Source organism: Homo sapiens, chromosome 17 (genome assembly GCF_000001405.40).
Source record: "Homo sapiens chromosome 17, GRCh38.p14 Primary Assembly".
Lineage (NCBI taxonomy): Eukaryota > Metazoa > Chordata > Mammalia > Primates > Hominidae > Homo > Homo sapiens.
This window is the reverse complement of record NC_000017.11, coordinates 49,825,651-49,853,037: the sequence shown is the minus strand read 5'-3', so window position 1 is coordinate 49,853,037 and position 27,387 is coordinate 49,825,651. Positions and strand designations below refer to the sequence as shown.

At 49.4% G+C, this 27,387-nt stretch overlaps 2 protein-coding genes and 1 long non-coding RNA gene across 12 annotated transcripts in view, besides 1 other annotated feature; 1 reads left to right on the top strand and 2 right to left on the bottom strand.

Moving 5' to 3' along the window:
- On the top strand, nt 4,969–14,738 carry TAC4 (tachykinin precursor 4). 5 transcript variants are annotated; one of them, NM_001077506.2, is made up of 5 exons: nt 4,969–5,125; nt 8,881–8,974; nt 11,454–11,486; nt 13,129–13,188; nt 14,365–14,738. In NM_001077506.2, the coding sequence occupies exons 1-5, from the start codon at nt 5,021–5,023 to the stop codon at nt 14,394–14,396; spliced, it is 324 nt and encodes a 107-aa protein (NP_001070974.1). In that variant the 5' UTR covers nt 4,969–5,020; the 3' UTR covers nt 14,397–14,738. The 5 variants fall into 5 exon arrangements, with proteins under 5 accessions (NP_001070974.1, NP_733786.2, NP_001070971.1 ...); NM_170685.3 differs by having other exon boundaries at nt 4,969–5,143; NM_001077503.2 differs by lacking the exon at nt 11,454–11,486.
- Nucleotides 5,396–7,152, bottom strand: FLJ45513 (uncharacterized LOC729220). The gene is made up of 3 exons (NR_164135.1): nt 7,032–7,152; nt 6,797–6,893; nt 5,396–6,106 (listed from the first exon to the last, which is right to left on the bottom strand). It is a non-coding gene; the product is annotated as an uncharacterized LOC729220 (long non-coding RNA).
- KAT7 (lysine acetyltransferase 7) overlaps nt 18,012–27,387 on the bottom strand; it is a 46,346-nt gene continuing 36,970 nt past the window's right edge. For all 6 annotated transcript variants that reach the window (NM_007067.5, NM_001199155.2, NM_001346706.2 and 3 more), the window contains 3 exons: nt 26,892–27,038; nt 26,239–26,345; nt 18,012–25,637 (listed from right to left, as the gene is read on the bottom strand). In NM_007067.5, coding sequence (NP_008998.1) covers nt 25,536–25,637; nt 26,239–26,345; nt 26,892–27,038 — 356 coding nt within the window. In that variant the 3' untranslated portion in view covers nt 18,012–25,535. The remainder of the gene's footprint in view (nt 25,638–26,238; nt 26,346–26,891; nt 27,039–27,387) is intronic.
- Nucleotides 18,969–19,181: a silencer, noted in NCBI's record as "fragment chr17:47911219-47911431 (GRCh37/hg19 assembly coordinates)". NCBI's record gives its function as "represses an EF-1alpha promoter that drives an FKBP-Casp9 reporter gene in an ReSE screen in HepG2 liver carcinoma cells {active_cell/tissue: HepG2}" and the evidence as "EXISTENCE:reporter gene assay evidence [ECO:0000049][PMID:32094911]".

Here is a 27,387-nt window from a genome sequence, read left to right as displayed (position 1 = left end):
GTGAGAATTTCTTTCTGAAACTGGGCAATACCTTCAGGCCCTTTCAGAGACACACGGGGCATAACTGAGGGGCTAGAAATGCCAAGACCAAAGCAGGCTTGGGCCAAACCGCCTGCCACGAATATGGGCAAAGGCATCTGCCCACACAACCTCTGGGCACAGAGGGCAAGGGCTCTGTTTGTTCCATCTACACTGTGGACCTAGAGATCCGCTTTTCCAAACCCTAAGTGTTCTCTCTAGGACAAGTGTCTGAGCACACCCGCATTATCAATGAGGTAAAGGGAGTCCTGGGTTCCTCCTTTTCCCCCAAGTGCCCTGCCATGGCACTTTCCACACTGCGGAAATAGCTGCGGTTTCCAGCCCGTGCCCTGCCTCCCTCCCAGCCTTCCAGACCTTTGGAGTTTTCTCTGCCTTCTTCCCGTCACCCTCTCCTTTCTTCCCCGTGTGCCCCACCTCATCCCCGTGTTAAAATTGTGATGCCTGTTTCTTTTTTCTTTCTCCCTCCCTCCCTCCCTTCCTTCCTCTCTCTCTCTTTCTCTCTCTTTCTTTCGAAATGGGGTCTCACTCTGTCACCCAGGCTAGAGTGCAGTGGCACAATTTCTGTTCACTGCAACCTCCACCTCCCAGGTTCAAGTGATCCTCCCACCACAGCTGGGATTACAGACAGTGAGCCACTGTGCCCAGCCCTCTGTTTCTTTCAACTGGGTTCGCATGCAACTCTCATTTAAAGGTGTTCAGTAAATCCAGAATCAGTGAATGAATGCATGAAAGGAACCTCAAAGACTTGGGGCAAGAGTTGTTTTTTCCGAAGTCTTAAACCATCACAGCGGGAGAGGGCCAAGCGCAGGGTGCAAAGTCCCAGTCAAGCACTCCTGGCTACCTTTACCCACCACCCTCCCCGCCACTAGAAGGGCCGCACTACGTGCCCGAGGACACCCAGGCCCCCTGCCCGTGGCAGCCCTGCCCCTGCTTTATCTCCTGTTCCTCTATCCAGGGACAGGCCTTTCCAAGTCCAGGACCCAGCTCCAGCCCAGCCTGGATCTCGCCACGCCGGCGCTCTGGGAGGGGAAACGAGGTGGTCAGAAGTTTCCACGTGGGGGCGCTGGAGGGGCGCGGGAAAGACTGAAGCAGACCTCCCCCCACCCTTCGTGCGTGGTCGGTGAAGGAACCCAGATCGTCAACCTGCGGCTGCCCCTGTCCCCAGGGTCCCCACCAGGCAGTCATGACCCCCCACCGAGCCCTCTCCCTTTCGCCTCGCCTCCCAGCCCCACGCCCCACTCCCTCGGGTTCGCGCTCCTCAGTCAAGATGAAAGAGCCCGCGAGCAGCAGATAGGTCTAGGTTCGAATCCCACCTCTGCCCCTTAATGGCTGGAGGCCTTCTCCCAGCGCCGGCCTGTAAAATGGGCCCATCACGCACCGACTTTGGCTGGAGGAGGCGTTCAGGAAATGTCAGCTTCCTGCCCTCATCCGCCCTCATCTCACGTTTCCCTCTGCTTCCCCCCTCCTTTTAGTTTTGTTTTAAATCCCTCCCTCCTGCGCCCTTTCTCTTCTCGGCTCCGCAATCTTAGCCAAACCGCAGCGTTTAGCAATCCTGCGCCCACCCGGCGCCCTGGGAGCCTCGCCGCGGCCGCGACCCGCCCCCGGCCCGGCTCCCGCGGGGGCGCCACCGCCGCGACATACCCCGCCGGGGGTCGCACCCCGACTTGCGCACGGCCCTGCCCCAGCCCACCCCGGATCGGCCGGGTCCCTCCTCTGGCGGCAGCGCCGCAGCCCACCCGCCGCCGGGGCCGCGGGGACCGGGCGGAGCTGGACGCACCGGCCAGGGCCGTGCCCGGGTGGCCGAGGGCACCGGGAGGGGCGGCGGGCTCGGCCGCCAGGACTGCCAGCGCCAGCCTGACCGCAGCCCGAGGGCGACGCTGCAAATAGCCGCGGTTTCCAGCCTGTGCCCTGCCTCCCTCCCAGCCTTCCGGACCTTTTGGGTTTTCTCTGCCTTCTTCCCGTCGCCCTCTCCTTTCTGCCCCGTGCCCCCCGCCTCGTCCCTGCTGTGCGCCCACCACATCCTGCCTCATGCAGGACGGCTCTGGCGCTGACGAGGTCGGGACCATGCAGGATGGCTCTGGCGCTGGCGAGGTCGGGAGACTGAGAGGGGGCCAGGAGACCAGCGCTCCTTCGAAGGAATAAAATCATCATCCTCCTCATCATCACAACAATTAAGTTAGGGTTAACTGAGCGCGTGCTGTGTGTCAGGGACTCTGCTGAACGCTTTACCGGCAGGAATTCATGAAATCTTTACTACATACTAGGAGGGTCAGCGTCAATTTGCAGATGGAGAAAACTAAGGCTCAGACACTCAGTAGAGACTAAGGTCACCCCATCTGCATCAGGAGAATGGAAGGCCATCTCCCCTGTCTAGAGGCCCAGGCTGTGATTCTGCCTGAAACCCTGTGGGTAAGACCCCACTGGAAGGTGGGAAAGAGCTGGCTGGGGGGTCCAAGCCAGTCGGCCAATGAATTCTCAGTGTATCCTACAGCAAGCCCGGCCTGCCTCAGTTTCCACACCTGTGAAACCAAGAGGATGAACGCAACATTTTGTTTCCTCTAAGGAAGAACCTGTTAATGACAATGGAAAACCCCAAATGGAGTGTGAGGCTTTAGGTGTCCTGCGCTTGGGGGAGCTCAGTGGGAGGCTGGGGGACTGCCTCCCTGCAGAGTTGGGAGCAACCCACAAGCCAGGACTGGCTGCCTGGGAATTAGGTTAAGCTGGGGAAGCTGCATTTTAGCAAATTTGGGGATTCTGAAGCCTTCCAGTTTAGAACGCACCAAAAAGATTCCCGAAATTGGGTGGGGGGAGGGGGTAGTCCTCCCTCAAACACTCCATACTTACCCTTAATCATCTCTGACTTGGCTGGCCTGGATTCAGGGTGAGTGCAGGTTTCTTAAGGACCTACTGTATGCCAAGCACACATCTGTCACAGCCCTACTCTCAGAGAGCTCATGGCAAAGTCAACAACCACATGGCTGACTAGCAGAGATGCCCTCAGCCCAGCTGTCCCTTTTGGGAGAACTGGAGCCAAGCTTCTTCTTCCAGGGGTGAACACCCCGAGCTAGGCTGCGCAGATCAGTGAGCAGAGCTGGGGATGCGTTTCACCTCCACTGGCCCCCTCTGCAGCCAGCCTTGTGCAGGACACAACCTGCACAACTTCACATAGAGGCCCGTGGGAAGCCATAGAGATCCAAGTGGCAGATGTTGGCAAAAGGAGCCAATTACTTCTTGCTAGAGACAGGAATAGAGACAGAAGAATTCTATGGAAGAGGCGAGTATTAAGCTGGATCTTTAAGAATGAATGGGAATTCACCAGGCGGAAAGGGAGGTCCAGCAGAGGCAACAGCCTGTCCTGGAACAGGGGTAGGGGTGGACTGGGAAGGCGCACGTGCCTTTCCCTTGCTCCCACCGCTACGCTGGCACATGTCAAACCAAACGTAGCTTATCTGCCAACCAGAGGTCTCTGTGCCTGAACTGTGATATGCTACAGGATGAATGTCTTACTCATCTTCTACCACCCACTGCCTCACCCAATGCCGATAACAGTAACAGTAATAATGGTCAAGCCAGGTGCGGTGGCTCATGCCTGTAATCCCAGCACTTTGGGAGGCCGAGGCAGGTAGATCACCTGAGGTTGGCAGTTGAAGACCAGCCTGACCAACATGATGAAACCCTGTCTCTACTAAAATACAGAAATTAACCAGGTGTGGTGGTGGGCGCCTGTAATCCCAACTACTCAGGGGCTGAGGCAGGAGGATTGCTTGAACCCAGGAGGCAGAGGCTGCAGTGAGCTGAGATCACGCCACTGCACTCCAGCCTGGGCAACAGAGCCAGACTCCGTCTCAAAAAAAAAAAAAAAAAAAAAAAAAGTCAGCAGGTGGTAAATATTGACCATCACGCTTTATGCTAAGTGCTCCAGGGCATTCTCTCATTTCATCCTCAAACTTTGGTAACAAGTGCTATTATTAATCCTGTTTTACAGACAAGGATTCTCGAGAAGAGTTAAGTAATGTGCCTAAAGTCACACAACTATTTGGAATCCAGGCCTCTGTGACCACAGAGCCCTTGTTCTAGACCGATGAGTGGATAGATGGATGAATGGATCTGGGTGGATAGGCGAGAGGGAAGAACTAAATGAAACACCATGAACGCCACACTAGGGAGCTTGAATTCACTCAAGGGCAGTGGGAAGACACTGAAAGGTTGTAAGCAGGAGAGACAAGTCAGTTTAGGGACTTAGAAACATCACTTTGACAACAGGGGAAAGATCACTTAGAGCCAATGACGCTTGAAACCTGCAGCCATTTTTCTGGCAAATCCCAATTCCCACTCGTGAGGAGCCTCATTTCTTTAAGCAATGTGTTATTTCTCTTAAAGGAAGACGTGTTCTTTTGCACACACAGGGACTATTGATGGAGGAGAATGCTGGAGAGGAGGGGGCTCAAAGACAGGAAGAGGAGACAGAAAGGGGATACTGCTAATTTCCAGGGAGAGGCCTCTCTGTACAGGGGAGCAGAGCACCAGGTAGGGAGAAGGCATATGGCCCCCTCCCTTATTTCTAAGATGAGAAGGTCCCTTCAGGTTTTCCAGCCTGGAAGCTGCAAGCTCCAGGTCCCACACACTGCCCCACTGTGCACCTGCCACCAGGGAAACAGCCAAAGGTGAGGCAGGTGTTGCATCAGAGTGTTAAGCCCTGGGATCAAATGTTAGGGGGCAGCAGTGGAAGAGGTCTGATCCCTCCTCCTGAGCAGCTCCTAATATCATTGGCCTGTCCAGCCAGGGAGGGAGGGGAGTCACAGAAACTGGCCTGGGGATCAGTTAAGCTGAAGGAAGGAATCAGGAACAGCTGGAAGGACCAGAAAACAGGGGGAGTTTCCCCTATCTACACTCAAGGAGCCAAAGAGCAAACCAAAGCCTGCAGGAGGCATCTTCAAGCTGAGAGGGGCTCCCAGAGATTCCAGGACAGTGCAGGCTCACCATGCTGCCTTGCCTCGCCCTGCTTCTCCTGATGGAGCTGTCCGTGTGCACTGTGGCAGGTGATGGTGGAGAGGAACAGACACTCAGCACTGAAGCAGAGACCTGGGTAATTGTGGCCTTGGAGGTACTTTTGGGGAGAGGCTCTGACGAGGGCAGGGGATAATCGGCAGTGCAGAGGCAGAAGATCCCCTGCATGGCTGCTGGGAGAGCAGGCAGTCTGCAAGGCAAGTTGTCTGACTCTCTACCATGGGTAGATTCAAGGCTATGAGCCCTGGCCTGGCAGACCTCCGAAGTGTGTGTGTGTGTGTGTGTGTGTGTGTGTGTGTCTGTGTGTGTGTGTGTGTGTGTAAGAAATACTTATTTAACACACGGTATATCTCTGGCACTGTCTGAAATGCTTTATAAATATTAACTCAATCCTCCCATCAACCTCATGGGGAAGGTATCATGACTACCCCTCATTTCACAAATAAGGAAACTGAGGCACAGAGAAGTCAAGTAGTTTGTCCAAGGTTGCACAGCTTCAAAAGCACAACTACACACTTTGCCCAAGGTCTGATTCTGTGTATCTGTGCATCTGAGGAGCTTTTCCAGAATTTTCTTTCAAGGGGATCAACTTAAACAGGACCACTATTTGGTCTCACATGTAGAAATGACCCAGCATCTGCACTACCCCCACTCCTGCCTGACAATCTGATTGGGGAGGCAAAGATCCTGACCTCAGGCGTTCCCTAATCAGACAAGGGACAGATACCAACAAGCCAGAGACAAAGACGGGTAAATAAGAGGCCAGTGCTCAGGGAAGGCTTCCAGGGGGGCAGACAGGACAAGGCTGGGCCTGACTCCTCCCATTCCCAGGATGGTAAGGACACTGGGGTGGCCTTGGCTTGCGGTCCTGGGCCACGATGAGGTCCTCGGAGGCGCTTAGAAATGGAGCCACGGGAAGAGCCATCACATGGACAGTCCTGCATGGTGGGTTTCCTTTCCGGTTTGTCTGAACCTGGAAGTGTGTGCAGTGAGGAGAGGGCAGCAGGGCTAGGAGTGTCTCCACTGATGCCTGCTTCTTTCTGGACATCAGTTTCCTCACCTGCAAAACGGAGGAGGGAAGTGACCCCCCAAGGCTTTTCTCCAGCTTTGATATGCTTTTATAGTCAGTGCCAAACATCAGGGTACCTGGTCTAGAGACAGAAGCCTTGCTGGGTGATGGGCCTCACTACGCAGCCCCATGGGAAACGTTAAAAACTTCAACTAGTGCTGCTGGACTGTTTCCCAAAAGCACCTCATCCTGCAGCTGGGTCTAATCCTTACTCTCCTTTCACTCTCCTTTAATATCACATCCCTCTGCTTCCCAAAATACAGGGCTTGGAATATGGGAGGAGACTGGGTTAGAAGTCAGGAAGAACTTACAAATGCTGTGGGATGCTAAGCATAACATAAGTGACGGCCGGCTGTGGAGTCTCATGCCTGTAATCCCAGCACTTTGGGAGGCAGAGGCAGAAGGACTGCTGGAGGCCAGGAGTTCAAGATCAGCCTGGGCAACATAGAAAGACCCATCTCTACAAAACATAAACAAAATTTGCCAGGCATGATGATGCACATCTGTGGCCCCAGCTACTCAAAAGGCTGAGGCGGGAGGATCACTGGGACCCAGGAAGTTGAGGCTGCAGTGAGTCGTGCTTGTGCTGCTGCACTCCAACCTGGGCAACAGAGCGAGACCCTGTCTCAAAAAAAAAAAAAAAATGAGGTAACAGGAATGGGGCATGATCGCATCACTTACCTCCCTTGCTCTCGGGGCTCCCCCAACCTGTAGTCATCCCTGGAGTTGGGGATTTGGGTTAAATGGATATGGAGGGCTCCGGCTGGGGGCAGGAGTCCTGTCGGAGTGAATGGGAAACCAATGTCTCCGAATGCCCCCCCACCAGGCACAGAAACCCAGTGGGGGAGAAAGGTCAGTCCTATTGAATTCATAAGTGGCCATTCTCTCCAGCTTGCACCTGAAGGCTGCCTCTTACCAAGGCAAAGTGGTTTTCATGAGCTTTTCAGAAATGGGTCCAAATCCCCAAAGAGACTTTTCCAGTTCTTGGCCAGGCTGGGTGACTCCAGCTCAAGATAGATGCCCCAGCCACTGACGTCCTGGTGGGGTGGGAGGGAAGCAGATGGGAAGTGAGTGAATTAGTCCAAGGCTTAGAAAACAATCCATTCCTGATCCTGAAAGGTGCCACAACACAAGTTGTGAGAGACAAGAGGGTTTATGTCGTCCCTAGCCAGGTTCCTGCTGGTCCCAGGAGCTCCAGCGCTACCCCTAGGGAAACTGGGGATGGAAGAAAGAGCCTCTGATCCAAGCCCAGCTCCCAGCTCCTGGCAGGCGGCTCGCATTACTCTAGGGCTCTGTTTGTCTATCTTTAGCTTTCCTGGAAAAGGGGACTCCCCAGCCCCCTCCCTATTCCCAGACTCTCAGAGAAAGGACTCCTCATTTGGCATTCTGTGTCCCATGTGTGCTGGGCTCCTATGTGTGCAAGGCTCAGTGCCAGGAGCTGGGGATACAGACATGTGAAGACAGTCTAATGAATGTTACCCACTGTCACTCTCTCAACTAGGGAGCGACTCCCTTTCAGCAGAACTGAGCAAGCCCCAGTTCAGAAGTTCAGGTTAAGGTCAGAGAGGGAGAAGGCTTTGGCCAAGGTCACAGAGGCTAATGGAAGAATGAGAATGTCAATCCACAGTCCTTGGTTGAGGATGCCATCAGCACAACGATTAAAATGTCTTTGCCCAGGGTAATAGCCTCCACCCCCAGACCACATGCCACTTCCTTCCGGGAGGCCCAGGCTCTAAGGCAAGGAAAATCTGGGACAATGGGGGAAGTGCCTGGGGAAGAGAGGTGAGTGGGGATAAGGAGGGGAAGCAGTCCTGCCTTGCCTCCTGGGGACCCACCGTGAGTTCACTGGCTGCCCTCTCCTCATCTATGTTGGAGACACTTCCCATGATAGAGCAGAACCAGTACTGTGAAGTCAGACTTTGAATCTTGGCTCAGCCTCTTCCCGTGTGACCTTGGACAAGTCACTTAACCTCCTTACATCTCAGTTTCTCCATCTGTAAAATGCAGGGGCCGGGGGAAATCATAGTTTCTACTAGTTATGGTGGTTGTGAAGATTAAATGAGATTATGACTGCAGTGTTTCAGACCAGCCTTTGAGCCTGAGTTCAACTTCTGGTTCCACCTCTCACTTCCCAGCTGGGTGACCTTGGACAATTCTTTCTTTTTGAAATGGAGTCTTGCTCTGTCACCTAGGCTGGAGTGCAGGGGCAGGATCTTGGCTCACTGCAGCCTCTGCCTCCCAGGTTCAAGCAATTCTCCTGCCTCAGCCTCCTGAGTAGCTGGGATTACAGGTGTCTACCACCATGCCCAGCTAATTTTTGTATTTTTATTAGAGACGGGGTTTCACCATGTTGGCCAGGCTGGTCTCGAACTCCTGACCTCAAGCGACCCACCCATCTCGGCCTCCCAGAGTGCCGGGATTACAGGTGTGAGCCACTGCGCCCAGCTGAACAATTCTTTAACCTGTGTCTCGGTGTTTTCATGTGTAAAATGACAGTAACAGTACTTAGGGTACTGTTTTCCTGGTGTTTTGGTGAGGTTTAAATTAGTTACTAGATCAACGTGCTCAGAACATAGTAGGTGAAATGTTAGCTATTATTACAAAGATGTGCAGTACTGTGTAAAATATGCTGAGGTGCCCAGTGCCAGTGCACAGCAAGTCTCTGCTGACCACCAGCTGTCACTCCTGAGATTGCCATTGCCCAGGCTGGCCTCCCGTCTGCTGGACAACCTCCCAACTCTAACACTAACTCTCTGCTTCTTCAGGAAGGCGCTGGCCCCAGCATTCAGCTCCAGCTGCAGGAGGTGAAGACGGGCAAGGCAAGCCAGTTCTTTGGGCTGATGGGGAAGCGAGTGGGAGGTGAGTGACAATGACAATGGAGCCCAGCAAGCAGGGGTTCTGAGTGGGTTCTGCAACATAAAGCAGAGGCCCTAAGTCAAAGCCCAGTAACTGGGGTCAGGTACTCCAGTCCAGTAGGGGTCGCTCATGAGATGGGGTGGCACAGACTGTCCATAGGAATTATCATCCAGGCTGGGGGGCAGTGGCTCATGTCTGTAATCCCAGCACTTTGGCAGGCCGAGGTGGGTACATCACTTAAGGTCAGGAGTTTGAGACCAGCCTGACCAACATGGTGAAACCCCATCTCTATTAAAAATACAAAAATTAGACAGACATGGTGGCACGTGCCTGTAATCCCAGCTACTCAGGAGGCTGAGGCAGTAGAATTGCTTGAACCTGGGAGGCAGAGGTTGCAGTGAGCCAAGATCATGCCACTACACTCCAGCCTGGGCGACAAAGCGAGACTCCATCTCAAAAAAAGAAATTAGCATGCAACCAGGACACTTTGGGGAGTGTTAGTAATTACGCCAGGCAACAAGTGTAAACAAGGCTGTTCCCAACAATGGGGAGCACGGGCACCTGAAGGGTGGGGGCACAGGCTCTGCACCCTGAGTGGTGCCTTCCATGCTCTGGATGACTCTGGGGAGTGGCAGTGAAGCTAGAGACCAGTCTGGATGTGGGCAAAGCCACAAGCCAAGCTTTCTAGTCAATTTTCTTTGGCTGAAACAAAATTACTAACTTAAACCTGTGTTCCCTGAAGGCACTTTCAACTCAGGAGTCCTGTCCTTGGGGGACCAGGAGAAAATACTCTGCACACAGAGCAGTTTTCTCTTATTGTCAATATTACATTTTTTAAGTGGTAATGCTCCGTGTTGGCTTGGTGTGAAAAAACTGGCACTTTTACACTGTCTATTTGGAGGACACGTTCGCAATATCCAGGCAAGTTGGAAATGTGCTTACCTTTCTGACCCAGAGTCTCGCTTTTCAGGCAGACATGCTGTTACTACATGAGCCCTGAGGGTATTCACTGCCAACATGCTTGTAATAGCAAGAATTCGGAAATAACATAAACACCATCAATCAGGGAATGGTCAAAATCTATTACACGTATCCTTAACCCTTGTGGCCATTAAAGAGAATGAGGCAGACCCATAGAAAGATGTGGAAAGATCTCCAAGATACATGGTTAAGTGGGAAAAAGCATGTTACAGATCAATATTCAAGAGGAGCCTACTTGTTTTTAAAAAACGACATACACACAGATATGCAAATGCATGGGGAAAGTTCTAGAAGGATAAATATCAAACTGTAAACAGTGGTTACTTCAAGGACAGAAGTGGAGATGAGGGGGGAGAAAGGGAAGAGAGACTTTAAATTTTACTTGTACAAACCTTTTCAAAATAGTGGATGTATTCAAGGACTGCTTTTGTAATAAAAAAAAAATACACATATAAAAATAGAGAAAACCAACTTGTGACCAAGCACTTTTGGCCTTAGTTTCCTCTTCTACAAAATGAGTTCTGAACTGAGCCATTTCAAACTTCTTTTTTTTTTTGAGATGGAGTCTTACACTGTCACCCGGGCTGGAGTGCAATGGCGCAATCTCAGCTCACTACAACCTCTGCCTCCCGGGTTCAAGCAATTCTCCTGCCTCAGCCTCCCAAGTAGTTGAGATTACAGGCATCAGCCACCATGCCTGGCTAATTTTTTGTATTTTTAGTAGAGATGGGGTTTCACTATGTTGGCCGGGCTGGTCTCGAATTCCTGACCTCGTGATTCGCCCACCTCAGACTCCCAAAGTGCTGGGATTACAGGTGTGAGCCAACGCGCCCGGCCCATTTCAAACTTCTTTTCCAAATCCAACAACTCATGAAGGATGGGGGATGGGAATGTCAGAGAAAATACTTCTTGAGCACCTACTATGAGGCTGAGGTGGGAAGATCATGAGGTCAGGAGATCGAGACCATCCTGGCTAATGTGGTGAAACCCCATCTCTACTAAAAATACAAAAAAATTAGCCGGGCGTGGTGGCGGGCGCCTGTAGTCCTGGCTACTCGGGAGGCTGAGGCAGGAGAATGGCGTGAACCTGGGAGGCGGAGCTTGCAGTGAGCCGAGATCGCACCACTGCACTCCAGCCTGGGCGACAGAGTGAGACTCTCAAAAAAAAAAAAAAAAAAAAAAAAGATTAAATCTCCACAATAATATCCCCCTTATCACAAGCGGGGAAACTAAGGCTCAGATAGGTTAAGCACTTTTCCCAAGGATGCCCACCCAGCTGGCACCAGGTGCCAGTGACCCCAAAGTCTGTGCACTTCCAGCCACTCCACACTGCCCCCTACCAGCACATTCCTACTGCCACAGAGGATAACTGGGGATGACTAGAATTCTACTGAAGACCCACCAATGCACCAACCCTCAAAGAACTGGAGCCTTTTCCACCTCACCAAGCCCCCAGGGAAGCAGTGCAGTCCGTAGTCCTCATTCCTTCTCCTTCCCCCAGGAAGACCTCTGATCCAGCCAAGGAGAAAAAAAGGTAAGTATTGCCCAAACCTGCCTTCAACATGCCCCCTAGGGAGGGCTGAGTTGTCCTCAGCACAAACAAACCAGGTGGGTGAGGGGAGATGCTCTGGCCAGGGGCAAGCCAGGCTGGCATTGCTGTGCAGAGGTGGGGCCAGTGTGGTTTGGCCATGCTAGGCTTTCTGGTTGTTTCCTTAAGAGGGGTGGTCCTAAGGAGCGGCTGCAGGGATAGGAATAGACAGTGATGGATCTAGTTCGACCAGCGTTTCAAAATTACCTTACGTCTAAAGCCTGGAATTAGAAAAAAAAAAAAAAAAAAAAAAGTCAACCACTAGAGATAAGAGTGCTTAAAGATCACCAGATGATCTTAAAAGTGCAAATCTGGACCAGGCAGTGGCTCATGCCTGTAATCTCAGCACTTTGGGAGGCCAAGGCAGCCAGATCACTTGAGGTCAGGAGTTCGAGACCAGCCTGGCCAACATGGCGACTAAAAATACAAAATACAACTAAAAATGCAAACATTAGCCCGGTGTAGTGGCAGGTGCCTGTGGTCCCAGCTACTTCAGAAGCTGAGGCTGGAAAATCACTTGAACCCAGGAGGCAGGGGTTGCAGTGAGCCGAGTCCAGCCTGGGTGACAGAGGGAGACTCTGTCTCAAAAAAAAAAAAAAAAAAAAAAAAAGTACAAATCTAAGAAGCCACTACTCTGCTTAAATCTTTCAGTGAAAAGCGAAAAACAAAATCAAAAGAAAATATACCAACTGGCCAGGTGGGTGTGGTGGCTCACGCCTATAATCCCAGCATTTTGGGAAGCCGAGGCAGGTGGATCACCTGAGGTCAGGAGTTCGAGACCAGCCTGGCCAACGTGGTGAAACCCTGTCTCTACTAAAAATATAAAAATTAGTCCGGTGTGGTGGCGGGTGCCTGTCATCCCAGCTACTCAGGAGGCTGAGGCAGGAGAATCGCTTGAACCCGGGAGGCAGAGGTTGCAGTGAGCCGAGATCACGCCACTGCATTCCAGGCTGGGCGACAAGAGCGAGACTCCATTCAAAAAAAAAGAAAGAAAGAAAAGTAACCAACCTGTACCCTCCACTCCCTCAGCGCTCTCAGGACCAAGTCTAGTCCCCTAATGCGACTCACCGCATCCTTCAGGCCTGCCTCACTGACCTGACTCCTAGCCCCATCCTAACCAGCTCTCCTTCCCTGACTGCCTGCCGTACACAGACAGAGCTTGTCTCCATGGCCTAGTGCGACCCTGTTCCTGGCACACTGCACTACACTGTCTTGCTGGGTCACATAGCTGGCTGGTGTCCCCAGACTGGAAGCCCCCCAACAGGCAGGCATCAGGTCTGCTGTCGCCTCTGTATCTCCAGTTCCCAGCAGTTTCTGCCTGTTAGAAGCACCACCAGGCGTTTGTGAAGGGAGAGCAGAGGGAGAATGGAGGAGGGGGAGGAGGGAATCAACGAATGAACTAGTGAATAAATTAATCAGTCCACGGTGTTTCCTCGCCTCTCGGGATGACAGAGAAATGATCCCATTTGCAAGGCCCCAGCCCTGGCCCCGGCCCTCGCCCTGGCCCTGTCCTTTGTCCTTCCCTGGTTCCCAAAACAGCCTACCTCTGCTGCCTCTCTCCTCTACCACTTCTCTCTCCCACCACCAGCATATCAGCTGGAACACACGTTCCAGGGCCTCCTGGGCAAGAGAAGCCTGTTCACAGAAGGTAGGCAAGAGCCGCTGGTGGTTGCAAGGGCATCATGGGAAAATGGCCAGACACTTTGCTGCCAGTCTGCAAGATGGGGGCTGGGCAGCTAGACAGACAGGCTCCCCACAAGCCATCATGGGGAGGCCCCCAGGGGAGGCAGTCGAGTGCAAGGAGGTGGTCCCAAGATTGAAATCGCTATGGCCCAGAAGCTGCACCCTCCCCACCCATGACACACCCAGGCACACTCTGCCCTGCCCCCACCCCTGCCCCTCAGGGCCAGCTGAAACCACAGGGACTGATGCCTAGTTTTCCAGACCTTGGAACATCCCCCATTCCCTCACTGTTTGCAAAGCTCTAATCGTTGATCGTTACACTAATCATTGATCATTAGAGGGTCATGCCTTTAGTCTTCAGAGATTTTCTGCCTTCAACCACTGTAAATAAGTGCAGATCACTCTGGGAGGAATAACACCATAAGCAGTTATCAGTTCACACTTTCTAGCAGAGGCCACGTCCCCAAATGGTTTCAGGGGACCAGGCATGAAAGTAGATAAATCAATCAGGTTGGGGAAAGGTCACAGCTCAAGTGAGCGGGCAGTGGGCGCCCCGGCAGGTCACAGACACTGAGCTCCAGTCTGCCTTCCCTAGTGCCTAACCTCTTCCACCGGAGCTGCAGACTTCTGGACCCCTCGCCTCCCTAGCACCCCTGAAAGAACACCTGCTCGACTCATTCCATTCAATAGCCATGGAAGTCACCTCAATAACAAATAGAGATGAATGTTCCTCCATGCATGGTGTGGGCAGGAATACTAGGAGTCAGTCATCATTTTTCAGAGATGGAAAGCTACTGGCCCAAAGTCACACAGTGAGCCGATAACAGAGCCAGGACTAAACTGTGTCTCCTGCTTCCTAGTCCATGTCACCCGCCATGTTCCCAGGACTCTTGGATAGCCTTCCCCACCTTTAAAGAGGGTAACTGAGGGTGGGCTCCATCCATGCTCTGGAGACATTAGCAATTGAATAATGGAAGATATGACAGATGAGCCTGTAATCCCATTGCCCTAGATATCTCCAGAAAGGAGAGAGGGGTTAGGAAGATGAAGGCCTTCAATGCAACTAGGGAAGACTTCTAAGGGTGGAGGAGCCAGACAAGACCCCCGACTAACCATGGTTCATATACCAAACTCTCCCCAGGCAGAGAGGATGAGGCCCAAGGTTCAGAGTAAAAGCCCCCACCACAGACTTCCCAGAGGACACGGTGCCGCTTCTTCCTACCTGGATGTCACAGCTGACAAGCCGGCAGGCCAACTCTCTTCTCTGTGTCTCCTGTCCTCATCGCTGGCACTTCACACAAGGCCCACACTGAACCCACTGGGCTTCTTCCTGGACTCTCAGTGTCAAGCAGCAGTCCTGCATAAATGCACAGCTTCGCCGTAGCAAGCTGCACTGACTCTGCCCTCCCTCACACTCAGAGTTGGCATCTCACTGCACAGCAGTGAGGAGACTCGCACACTCTGTATCCTGTGCCTAGCACACAGTAGGCACTCAATAAATGAGTGACCAGTGAATGGCTCCTTCTCTGGTGCACAGCAGAGGGCAGGAATGGCCTGGGCTCTGTAGTCTGTTCAGTGGCCTCACTGGTATGTCAACAGGCCAAGAGCCCTTTTGCAGAATCGCAGAGAAATACTGAACAGCCCTGGTCCTACCCCCAGGTGGGAAAACAGGCTTGGGACACAGGTAAGAATGACAGAAACAGGAAAGAGCCCACGACGGGATGGGAAGGTATTGCAGGCATTTTGGAAGGGAAGGGATTTGAAAACAAGGGGTCTTTCTTCCCTTTAGGGTCCTCTGAAGCCCCAGCCTGAAAGAAGACACCCTCTCCCTACTCACAGACATGATCTCAAGGGCTCAAATCCATGTGTCTCCTGACTCAGAGAACAGGGTCCCAGGTTATTCAGTTGTCTTGTATAAGGTGACCCTTCAACTAACTGCCTTGTGATTAAGACACAGCCCCATTCTTGAGCACCTTAGAAGAGCAAAACAGCTCCCAACCTCAGGGAGCCCCAGACTGAGGAGGCAACTGTCCCTGCACTAGCAGTTTATAGGCAGGTGGGACACAGAGGACCCCTTAGAAAGCAGCACATGAGCCAGCATGAAATCCTGGAGGCAAACCTAGGTCCTAAATGTGGAGGTGCTGAACCAAGGAATGCACTGGGAATTGTGTGTGGGTCCAGCAGTAAAGGAGGCTCATTAATCCACTAGGCTACAAAGCATTTAGCTTCTGTGTCCCTCTCTCTAAAAAAAAAAGAAAACAGGTTAGGAGTTTTTCTGGGTGTTTGATTCTTTGCAGGCAGGTGGAGGGAGCTGGGAGCTGGGCTATGTTTAAAAGGAAGGGGGCGGGGCACGGTGGCTCATGCCTGTAATCCCAGCACTTTGGGAGGCTGAGGCAGGCAGATCACGAGGTCAGGAGTTCGAGACCTGTCTGGCCAACATAGTGAAACCCCATCACTACTAAGTATATAAAAATTAGCTGGGCATGGTGGCGTGCACCTGTAGTCCCAGCTACTTGGGAGGCTGAGGCAGAAGAATCGCTTGAACCCGGGAGGTGGGTGTTGTAAGCCAAGATCGCACCACTGCACTCCAGCCTGGAGGGGGAAGCAGGCGTGCTGGTACAGAGGGCAGGACCCTCCTGTGGGTGCCAGAAAAGGCTTTAGAGACAACAAAGGTGGCTGCAAGGAGGAGGCCAAATGGCACCAGCATAGGCAGGAAGAGTCCTTGCACTTAACCTGTAGTGAGGTAGTCTCTCTCCCAAGACTGACTATTCACTGTGAGACCCTAATAAACCCCAGGGCCCCGTTTTCTCCATCTTCACACCTTACCATCATGTCCAGCAATGAATATGGGAGTGGGGGCCAGTGCAAGCCTCCTCCTTGGAACTCTGACACTGCTGCAGAATTTTCCAGTTAATGTACTTCCCATCTCACCCACTCCTAACCTCCTAACCCACCAGGCATCCCCGGTGCCTGCCCCACCCCACCCAGCCACCGGCGAGGTGCCAAGAGGTGGTTCACTGCAATAACCCAACTCAAAGCACCAGCAAAGAGGGCTGAAGACCTCATTCTTGTGTTTGAAGTCGGGGACATTTAGGAAAAAAGTGAACTCACCAAACAGTTTCATCTATGTGCCAGCATTTCACTAGGAACTCCGATGGGACTGGGGATATGAATGAAGTGTGAGATTGGAATTTGCCCTTGAAGACCTCACAGTATTATAGGAGAGCCAAGATGTACTAACGGACGCAAATTCCGCCTTCTGCTCCCCAGTCCTATCTTTCTCAAGCTCACCACGTTCACTCCTGCTTCTGGCTTCTGCACATGCCATTCTTTCCATCCTGGTGAGTGAATTCTTTGCCAAGATCCATTTCTCTGTAAAGGTTTTCCAGCCCAGGAAACACTCGTCCATTCCCTCCTTGGCATTCCCGAAATGCCTTACAAGTTCTTTCATTCAGCACTTCCTGTATGTTACAATGTTGATGTTATAATTAATGATTTACCTCCCCTGCAAAACAGGGTTTCGGAATAACACAGACCACATCTTATTATATTTGTGCCCTCAGCGCCAACAATAGTGCTTGGCACATGAGAGGTCCCTGGAGAGCATTGTGACGGACTCACATTTCCTGTCCTCAAGGAGTCTCGTTAGAGAGCCAAACTTAATACAAGTAACTGAAATAAATAGTAGCAGCTGCTACTTACTGAACACGTCCCAAAGTTCTCACTCAACCTGTCCATACACTGAACTGTTGATCCACTGCCCCAAAACTACTCCTCACCATCTTCCGCATCTCTACAAACGGCACCTCCACACACCCAGCTACAAACCTGGGAGTTCCCCTCAATTCCTCACACCTAACTCATTATCCCCTAGCTGATGAACCTTCCACAATCCATCTTGAGTCCACCTACTACTTGCCATCTTGTCACTGTTGGTAGCAGCCACCCTCCTCCCTTGTCTTGGAGGGCAGTAGCCTCCTGGCAGACCTCCTTGCTTTCCACCCTCCTGCCAGCCAGCCACCCCCAGCGTTTGTCCACCAGAGAGTGACATTTTAAAATGGGAAATAGGATCGCGTCCATTCCTTGTCGGCCACAGTCCAACGGTGTCCTAGCATACACTTGACATTCTTGCAGAAACCTCCAGGGCCCCGTGCTCTCTAATCCCTCTCCTCTGTGTTGTCACACTCGCCACCAGGCTCTCTCAGACACACACACCAAATGCTGGCCTGCTCTGGGATCTGGACACTGCCCCAGTCCCTCTACTCCATATTGCCCCCATCCTGCTAACTCATCTTTCAGCTCCCATGATAAAGGCCCTTTTTTAGACAGGGCTTACCACTGGTTCCCCAGACTCAACTAATTCCCACCTTAGATGGTGGACACAGCAGAACTTGTTTACTGACTACATGAATGAATACATGGCAAGCACTGCAAGAGAATTTTCCACAATTTTATCCCCATTCTGCCAATGTGGATAAGCCATTTGCTTGAAGTTACAAAGGAAATGACAGCCAGGATTTAGGCTACGGTGGCTTGACTTCACATACATCAAGCCCCACACTTGGTCTATGCCATGATAGTTCAGACAAGTCTCAAGCAGAATTAGGGGCCTATTCGGGTGGGAAAGAAACATTTCCAAAAGCCCTACCCAGGACACCAGTCCAAGAGGCTCCTTCCAGATCAAATCATTTTAGGAAATGTTACATCCTGTGTCTTCTTGGAAAACTCCAACACCCATTAGCCTACTGAAGGTTTTGGGAAATCTTCAAGTCAAGAAACATACTGGTATTATCTTTATTTTTTTATTTTTTGAGACAGGGTCTTGCTCTGTCACCCAGGCTGGAGCACACTGGTGGGATCTCAGCTGACCACAGCCTTGACTTCCTGGGCTCAGGTGATCCTCCTACCTCAGCCTCCTGAGTAGCTGGCACTACGGGTGCACACCACCATGCCCAACTAATTTTTTTGTAGGGATTGGGTCTCCCTATGTTGCCCAGGCTGGTCTCGAACTCCTGGGCTCAAGTGATCCTCCCACCATGCCTGGCCTGATACTAACTTTGGAAACACTCTGTGTTTTCCAAATTTATTTGACCACAGAACTTTTTGCCTATACTTTGGTATTTAATGGAACACACTTCATGGAACGTTGAAGTGGAGGCTTTCTCAGTAAACACAAGAAAGGGAATAATAGACTAATCCTGTTGCACGTTGAGGTTATGTGTAAGGGAATGATGAAAGCTATGTAGGTTGAGTCAGCTTACGGAAAGACTTGAAAGCCAGGATAAACATGAACTTAATCCATTGAGCAATGAGAAGCCACATGAATTCTGGAGCAGGCAGGTGATGAGCAGTATCTCGACAGCAGAAGAAGGTTGGGCGCAGCGGCTCATGCCTGTAATCCCAACACTTTGGGAGGCCGAGGCAGGCTGATTGCTTGAGCTCCGCTTGAACCAGCCTGGGCAACACGGCGAAACCTCGTCTCTACTGAAAATACAAAAAGGTAGCCGGGCGTGGTAGTGCACGCCTGTGGTCTCAACTACTCTGGAGGTTGAGGTGGGAGGATAGCTGGAGCCTGGGAAGGCGACGCAGCAGTGAGCCGTGATCGTACCACTGCACTCCAGCCTGGGTGACAGAAGGAGACCCTGTCTCATAAATCGATCAATCAATAAATACATACATACATACAGAAGGATATTCTTCAGTTTTCCTGATCCGCTTAAGGAGGTGGCTAAGAATTCCAAGGCCAGCCAGTTATCTCAGAAGCAATTTGACTGACAGCGAAGACACGATAAATAACCAAATGAGGTGAACTGAGGCTGCCATTTACACGGAACATAAACAGTGTCCCCTGGAATTGCACAAGGTGGTAGCCTTCCTCTAGGCACATCTGGCTTCCAATCAACCTACAAGGCAAACTGAATTCCAGCCCTTTAGTTTCCGAAGTCCCCTTGTTTCACTTCTCCATTGCCATGTATCAAACCATTCCAAAACGTGTGGTTAAAACAGTATTCTCATAATTCTCTGGGTTAACAGGACTCAGCTAGATGTCTTTAGTGTCATGTGGTACCAGCAAGGGCCACTCATGAGGGTGCGTTCAGCTGGGAGTCTGGCGGGGTTGAAACCTTCAAGAGACACAAGTCTGGGCTTTTAGTGCTGTGACTAGAGCACCTTGGTTCTCCTATGCATCGTCTCTCACCATTCAGTAATTTAGCCCAAGCTTCTCGTTTGGAAACGTGTCAGCTTATTTTCAAGAGCAAAAGTGGAAGCTGCCAAAATATCACTTCCATATCCTATTAGTCAAAACAAGTCACAAGTTCAGCCCTCACTGTAGAAAAAAATAGACCTTATTGGAAATAGCACGTGCACAGAGGATGAGAGCAACTGTTGGTGGCCATCTTTGGAGATGATCTACCACACCTCTAAATTTGTGAGATAAGAGTGTAGGTTTCTGATAACTTTGGAATTGAATGTATGGTAAGCTGTTTGCAGAAACAAATGTCCAATTAAGAACAAAGACTGGTTTCTTGGAATGAACATGACTTGTCGAGGATAAAGATGTTTATATCTCACATGGAACATTTGTGAGGAGCCATGGAGCCAGAGTTGTACAATAGTACAGGTTATTTTCTCCATTCTTGGGCACAAGTAAACAAATCCGCAAACCCCCAAATGGTAACAACATGACCTGGACTTAAAGGTATTGCACAAGAGGTTAGGGGCAAACTGATGTTTTGGCACCAGGGACATTTCTCATCGCTGGGCAATCCTTTGTTTCCTTCTTGGTGACATTCATTGGGATTTTGTTGCAGATACCACACAGGAAGAAGGCTATTAAACTGCCCCTATCAGCAGGAAACAGTCTGGAGGAGGCAGTCACACATAATTTTGTGAAAGAAAGTGCTGAGGCAAAACCAGCTGAGGTCCGATTCCATGATCCCAATGAACAGCAAAGCAAAGGGTGGCTTCTAGAAGTCCTAGCACACATCACATACTATCATTCAGCAAAGTAGTTTTCATATTTTATTCTCATGACATTCAACACTTTGATATGCTGTACATATGTGCACCTGTGAGACACAAGAGGTAGAGGAAACTAATGCTGAGAGCCTCAGTGAGCCAGGCCTTCTCCCTGCTGCCATTCTTTTCACTTGATGGGATTGGTTATTTGAGCTTGAGCACACTAAACTAGTTGAGGGTTGTATGGTAAAAGGATTCCTGCTGTCTCACTGGGGCTTTTTCTCAAACCAGGGTTTCTTAACTCCATGTCCAAGAATGGACTTCAACGGCACAATTTCCTCAACTATAGACAAATGTGTGCATATTTACAAGGGTGATTTTTAAAAATCCAGTGCTTTAATTAGAGTCTCAAGGACAGAAGAAAAAAGTGGTAAAAGGATCATGGCTGAGCTGTGCTGCTTGATCCTGGTACAGCTCGAGACTTTGTTTTGACCCACCCCACCCAGAACTATAGGGACAAATCAGTACAAATCAAAGTTGAGGACAAGTCAAAAGCATCACCTTGTCATTTAAAGGTTATACCACACTGTTAAAAGTTACTTGGCTGGGCGCAGTGGCTCCTGCCTGTAATCCCAGCACTTTGGGAGGCTGAGGTGAGTGGATCACCTGAGGTCAGGAGTTCAAGACCAACCTAGCCAACAGGGCAAAACCTCATCTCTACTAAAAATACAAAAATTAGCCAGGCGAGGTGGTGGGCACCTGTAATCCCAGCTACTTGGGAGGCTGAGGCAGGAAAATCGCTTGAACCTGGGAGGCAGAGGTTGCAATGAGCCTAGATCACGCCACTGCACTCCAGCATAGGTGACAGAGTGAGACGTCGTCTTAAAAAAAAAAAAAATGGCTGGGTGCAATGGCTCACGCCTGTAATCCCAGCACTTTGGGAGGCTGAGGCGAGTGGATCACGAGGTCAGGAGATCGAGATCATCCTGGCTAACACGGTGAAACCTCATTCTACTAAAAATACAAAAAATTAGCTGGGCGTGGTGGTGGGCACCTGTAGTCCCAGCTACTCGGGAGACTGAAGCAGAAGAATGGCATGAACCCGGGAGGCAGAGCTTGCAGTGAGCCAAGATCGCACCACTGCACTCCAGCCTGGGTGACAGAACGAAACTCCGTCTCAAAAAAAAAAATTACTTAATATGACTCATTATCCCCAGATAAGAAATGGGAAAATAGCATGGAAGCATCAGGTGACCAGACCTCATAACAATGCCAAAAGTATGGGATTTGGACTCAGGGAAGCAAGGCTCTCTCATTCTATTGCTATGACACAGCAGCAAGACCACTATGAGCCTCAATTTTTCATCTAGAAGAAGACTATAATATCCACCTTACTGTGCTGTGGTGAGGAATGAAGAAAACCATGGAAGTAAAGGGACAGTGCTTACTGAACAGTTTATTCCTAAATCAGAAACAATGCCAGAATGAGGCACATCTTTTGCTTCCTGGTTTAGCTCTGTAGCCCCCTAAACTTGCTGCTTCTAAAGCCAACTAACATCAATCAATTCTGTTTTTTGTTTTTGAGACAGGGTCTCACTCTGTCACCCAGGCTGGAGTGCAGTGGCATCATCTCAGCTCATTGCAACTTCTGCCTCCCAGGTTCAGGCGATTCTCGTGCCTCAGCCTCCCAAGTAGCTGAGACTACAGGCATGTGCCCACGTCTGATTTTTCTATTTTTTGTAGAGCTGGGGTTTCACCATGCTGCCCAGGCTAGTCTCGAATTCCTGGACTCAAGCGATCTGCCCGCCTTGGCCTCCCAAAGTGCTGAGATTACAGACTATTACAGAGCTATCACAGCTGGCTTAAAAATCAGTCCTTTTTACTGTAATGAGTTAATTTGGTTAATAATTAAAAAATAATAAGAAAAAATATAAAAAGAAAATCCTTTTGCCTGAAAGTTTTCACCAGTTTCATTATTATCCTTGTAATGGAAGCCATTAGAAACAAATCCAACTAGAAGGGAGAGGATGATTCATCATTAAGGAATCAAAAATAGTGGAAGAAAACGGTAGAGGGGAGGGTGCAGGCTATCAAGGTAGACAGACCAGAATTGAAGTTTCTGGCTTTGCTGCTTACTTCCACCTTGGATTCCAGGTCTCCTTTGGCAAACCAGTGTACCCATCTACTGTACAGGGCTAATATGAGGGTCAAATGAGGCAGTATGAAGGTACAGTGACAACCATATGGGAAGCAACCAATAGAGTAGGTACTTCCATTGAGCAGGTTTCAGGAATAATTTCAGACTTTTGCTCTTCTAATAAAGGAGCTTAAGCAGCTAAGCTTCTGTTATGCAGATAAGAGGGAGTTAAAAGCTGGGTGCAGAGGCTCACGGCTGTAATCCCAGCACTTTGGGAGGATGAGGCGGGTGATCACTTGAGGTCAAGAGTTTGAGACTGGCCTGGCCAACATGGCAAAACCCTGTCTCTACTAAACATACAAAAATTAGCCAGGTGGCCTGCACCTGTAATCCCAGCTACTTGAGAGGCTGAGGCAGGAGAATCACTGGAATCCAGGAGGCAGACATTGCAGTGAGCTGAGATCATGCCACTGCATTCCGGACTGGATGATAGAGTGAGACTGTCTTTTTTTAAAAAAAAAAAAAAAAAAAAAAAAAAAAATAGGTCGGGTGCAGTGGCTCACGCCTGTAATCCCAGCACTTTGGGAGGCCAAGGTGGGCGGATCACCTGAGGTCAGGAGTTCGAGATCAGCCTGACCAACATGACGAAACCCTGTCTCTACTAAAAATACAAAAATTAGCTGGGCATGGTGACAGGCACCTGTAATCCCAGCTATTCGGAAGGCTGAGACAGAAGAATCACTTGAACCCGGGAGGCAGAGGTTGTGAGCCAAAACTGCGCCACTGCACTCCAACCTGGGCAACAGAGCCAGACTCTGACTCAAAAAAAAAAAAACGGAATGAAATGGGATAGTCTCATGCAAAGTTGCCAAGGCAAGTGAAACTCTGTTTCCACACCTGTGGGGGTTTAAATGAGATAATAAATCCTTTTATTTTTAGGGAGTAAAGTGGGATGGCAAAGCGAGTGGAGACCTGGGATCAGGACTGTGCAAAAAACTTCAACTGTATGGGTTCTCACCACTACTGGTCACAGTGAGTGAAACCATTCCAGCACATACAATTCCCAGCCTCCTCCTTTCCACCATACGGAGGTTAGTGCTCAGCCACCCTTTTCCTGTGCTGGGTATATCTTACATGAAAATGCAGCTATTTTCAAAAAGAATAATTTCAACCTGCGAGAGAGTCAATAATTAGAGGTGACACTGCTCAATACTGGTGAATGAGCTTGGAGATGAGAAGGAATGTCTGTTCCCATCTCCTACAGGCATCAACTGTACCCCCATATATCCTAATTTCCTATTGGTTCCTTTGCCCCTAAAATCAGTGGAAAATGGCACTTAGTGAAAGAATGGGTAATACTGACTAATCATTGCTACGTATACTGATTAGCTGGAACCAAAGTGAGGCAGATCAAATTTGTGCCACCATCTAGAGAAGTTCAGAGTGAGCACTCCCTTGATCTTTACAGACAGCCTGTATCACAGGGAAAAACATTCCATAGCCACAAACCACATCCCTCAACAGTTTACTGCTAGGGAAAGCAAATCCCAAGTGCATTTACTATTAGTAGCAGATCGTGTGCATCATTTTCATATATAAATGAGAGCCCCCAGATGAAACAGACTTGAGCAGAGAACATGCTTTATTGAGGAGTAGATATAGAAGAGCACATTCTACCACATGTGGGGAAGGGTTTAGCTTCTGTAAAAGGCCTTTATCCCTTAAGAAAACCCCTAGTGAAGTTGCTTTTTGATAAATTTTAACAGTGACACTGAAACTGGAGGGGAGCTGCCACTGAACATGCTTAAAATTAGCTCCCCCAACCCACAGTGAATATAAGTAGTGTACAGAGATGACAAGAGAAAGGCACAAATGACCGGAGTCAGGGATTGTGGTGAGGGCTCCACATGAAGACAGCATGTTGGAGGAGACCAAGTTGGGAAGGGTGACATGTCATACATCAAAAGTTGCCCCAAGATAGCAGGTTATAATGGGCTAGAGAGAAATTAGAGGGAACATCTCTTCCTTCACTTGAACAACACCAAAAATAGAAGACCAGAGAATAGAAGGATGGTGACAAATCCCAAAAAGGAAATGGAGGAGGAGTTCGTGGAAGGGCAGAAGCACTTTAATCCTAGAGGGAGGGTGAGGCACTGTTGAAAAGAGAAGCAAACTTTGGCAGGGGTGGCCATTCTGCCTTGCTGAGTCATGGGCTGAGATACGGAAGTCACTTTCAATCATTTTCTACTTCTCCCAGGGCACTCAGACAAAATCAGTGCAAGGTATATGGAAGTACAGATGTACTGTATCAGACTAGTGGAGGTGAAAAGGTTTCTGCAGTATAATTAACCAGTTAATATGCAGCATGAAAGGGAAAAGTGGACATTACTTTGGCACCTGCAAACGTAAAAAGTGGGAGTAAAGAGAGAAGGAAATATTTACTAGTGAGTACTTTACGGTGAGGCAAAAAGTAGTATCCGTTCCCTTTCACCAAGACACTGCCCACTGCCCACTGCCCACAGGTGAACTCAAATCAAACCCAGAACCACCACCCCTTCATTCTTCTCTCCATCTCATTCAGATCAATTATATGCTATTACCATGACTAGTCCCTGGGAAACTCTTCAAAAGTATTTGGCTCTGGTTAGCCCAATACAGATCAAAAAGAGGTCTCTTAATCAAAATGAAGAAATTTAAAGCAAGATGGAACCCAAAGTGAATGGACCCCCTGCCAATCCACACACACTCACAAGTGCCACCTTTTCCCTGCCCCTCCATAGAACACACATATAAGGAGTAACTGGAAAGGTCCTGGTGGTGGCAGCCATATTTGGAGGTCTGGTGACCAGGTGGCAAGCACTAGTACCACGCTTAGAAGACACAACACAACCTCATGGGGCGAGAGGACATGAGGAGAGAACCAGTGACTGGACAGGTACAGTACCATAACAGAACTCCTTGGGTCAGTGCTGAGAGACCTGCACTCAAGTCTAATACAGATCCCATCCAGGCAACCTCACTGAGGCCGAAACAACAGTTCCTCAGAACCAGCGTCTGCAGTGTACACAAAGGTCGGAGCCAGGACAGTCCTGAGGGGGATGGCCTTCCCAAAGGATACTGTACTTGCCAATCACAAGAGCAACAGAGAAATGACAGACAGATCCCTAGGGTACGGATTCCTACTGCTGGGGTTCGCTGGCTCGGAATGACAGGTCACTTTAAGTGCCCTTGGGAGGGGTCCATTTTAAGCAGCTGGGATCCATGGTTTTATTGGAGTTGGACCTTTTGGCCTCTTTGGCTATCCACTCATCAATCAGGTCCTGAGGGAGAACAATGGGAAAAAGGATTACATACTTTCAACTCAAGTGCCTTTACATAGATTCCAAAATAACTAACCGCCAAGAAGGAATTGCCAAAGGTTTAACAACATATTAGGGTATCAAAAAAAATACTATATTTTGACTTATAAACTGCTTTCCTATCTAATCCATTCTTCCTACTTTACCCTCAGTGAGAAATGAAAATCATCGCTCACCGACCTTTATTGTATATATGAAATAATTTAAAAAATTAGATGTGAGTTTGAGTTGAGACAGCATTTGTGAAGATTCCTCTACAGATGGGCAATTTCCTCCCACCTAAGAAAAACATCAAATGACAGAAATGCTGTACAACATAAAGCTGCTTAACTGGAGCTGCTTAACTTGTGTCATCCAAATTTGAGACAGGAGCTTATCAAAACCTTCTGATAAGGATAAGGCAACACAGGCATCACTGCCAGCTACAGAAATGAGACCCAGTAAAAGGGGCGTGTAGCCCAACTCCTTTAAGGGAAGGTTCTCCAGTCTTAAGGCCCATACTTTGCTCTGCTAAGTCTTGAAGGACATCCAGCAATGAGCAAGCCCCTGATGAGAACCTTACCTGTCTCTTTAAAACTAGGTGTTTTCCCTTCCAGTATTTGAGCATCTGAAGGGCTTGCAGAGTGCTGACAATGTCCACAGGATTCACAGCCGTCTCCTGACTGATTTCTGAAACAGAAGAAGTACTGACAACCTGGCCAAAGTGCAGGTTCCCACCCCTTTGCCCCCAACCAAGGTCTACTTTCCCTTAAAGGAAATCCAAATGGACAGAATCTTCTGTACTCAACCCAATCTGTTTAGAAGGAGTTTACAAAGTATTCATTTGACCAGTCCAAATAACCACAAAAGGATATTACAGCAAGAAGCTACTCTTGGCCCCTTAGAAATCAGGATCAAATATAGATCAAACTAAATTGTTCCACCCTTGCATAAATACACAGGGATGTCTTTCTCAGAAAGATGAACCAAACGATCTGAAGTTTTGCTTCTTGACTTTTATAAGAATTAAAGTGTTGGCAACTCTGGATTTGAGAAGCCAATTAATAACCATTCCCAGGGGCCAAATGCTTTGGATTCCTAGGCAGCTTTAGTGAGGGTCTCCGCAGTGGTCCATATTCAGTGGGCCTTCCGTTCTCACATTCAGGGGAAACACAATACCCAGTAGAGTTAACTTCTTGGGTAACAATCAACCATTCCAAGGAGTCAAAAACCAACCTTTGATAGAAATCTCTTTGCCTTGAAAATTATGCAGGTAGCGGAGAAGTACTTCTTTCCAGTAACTGCGATAGCTTATAAGCCCCAGATCTGAGAGTGGACGTTCTGGGGAGCCAACTTTTTCTTCGACTTTGGAAAGCAAATAACCTGCCAGGGAACAAATACAGACTTTTTCTAGCAACACTCGATCTTATCCTAATAGCAAAAAACTGTGTGCCAACATGGAAGAAGGTTTAAGAAGCACAGTCCACTCCATTAGGATTTAGTCATTCAATGGAATACTGTGTGGTTAACTATAGTATACTGCCTTTGTATAAACAAAAGGGGAAGAATGTGTATTTGCATTTACATGACACAGGAGTCCCCTCTTATTCACAGGGAATGTGTTCCAAAACTCCCAGTGGAGGCCCAAAACTGTGGGTAGTACCAAATCCTATATATACTATGTATTTTCCTATCAACACATATCTATGCTACAGTTTAACTTATAAATTAA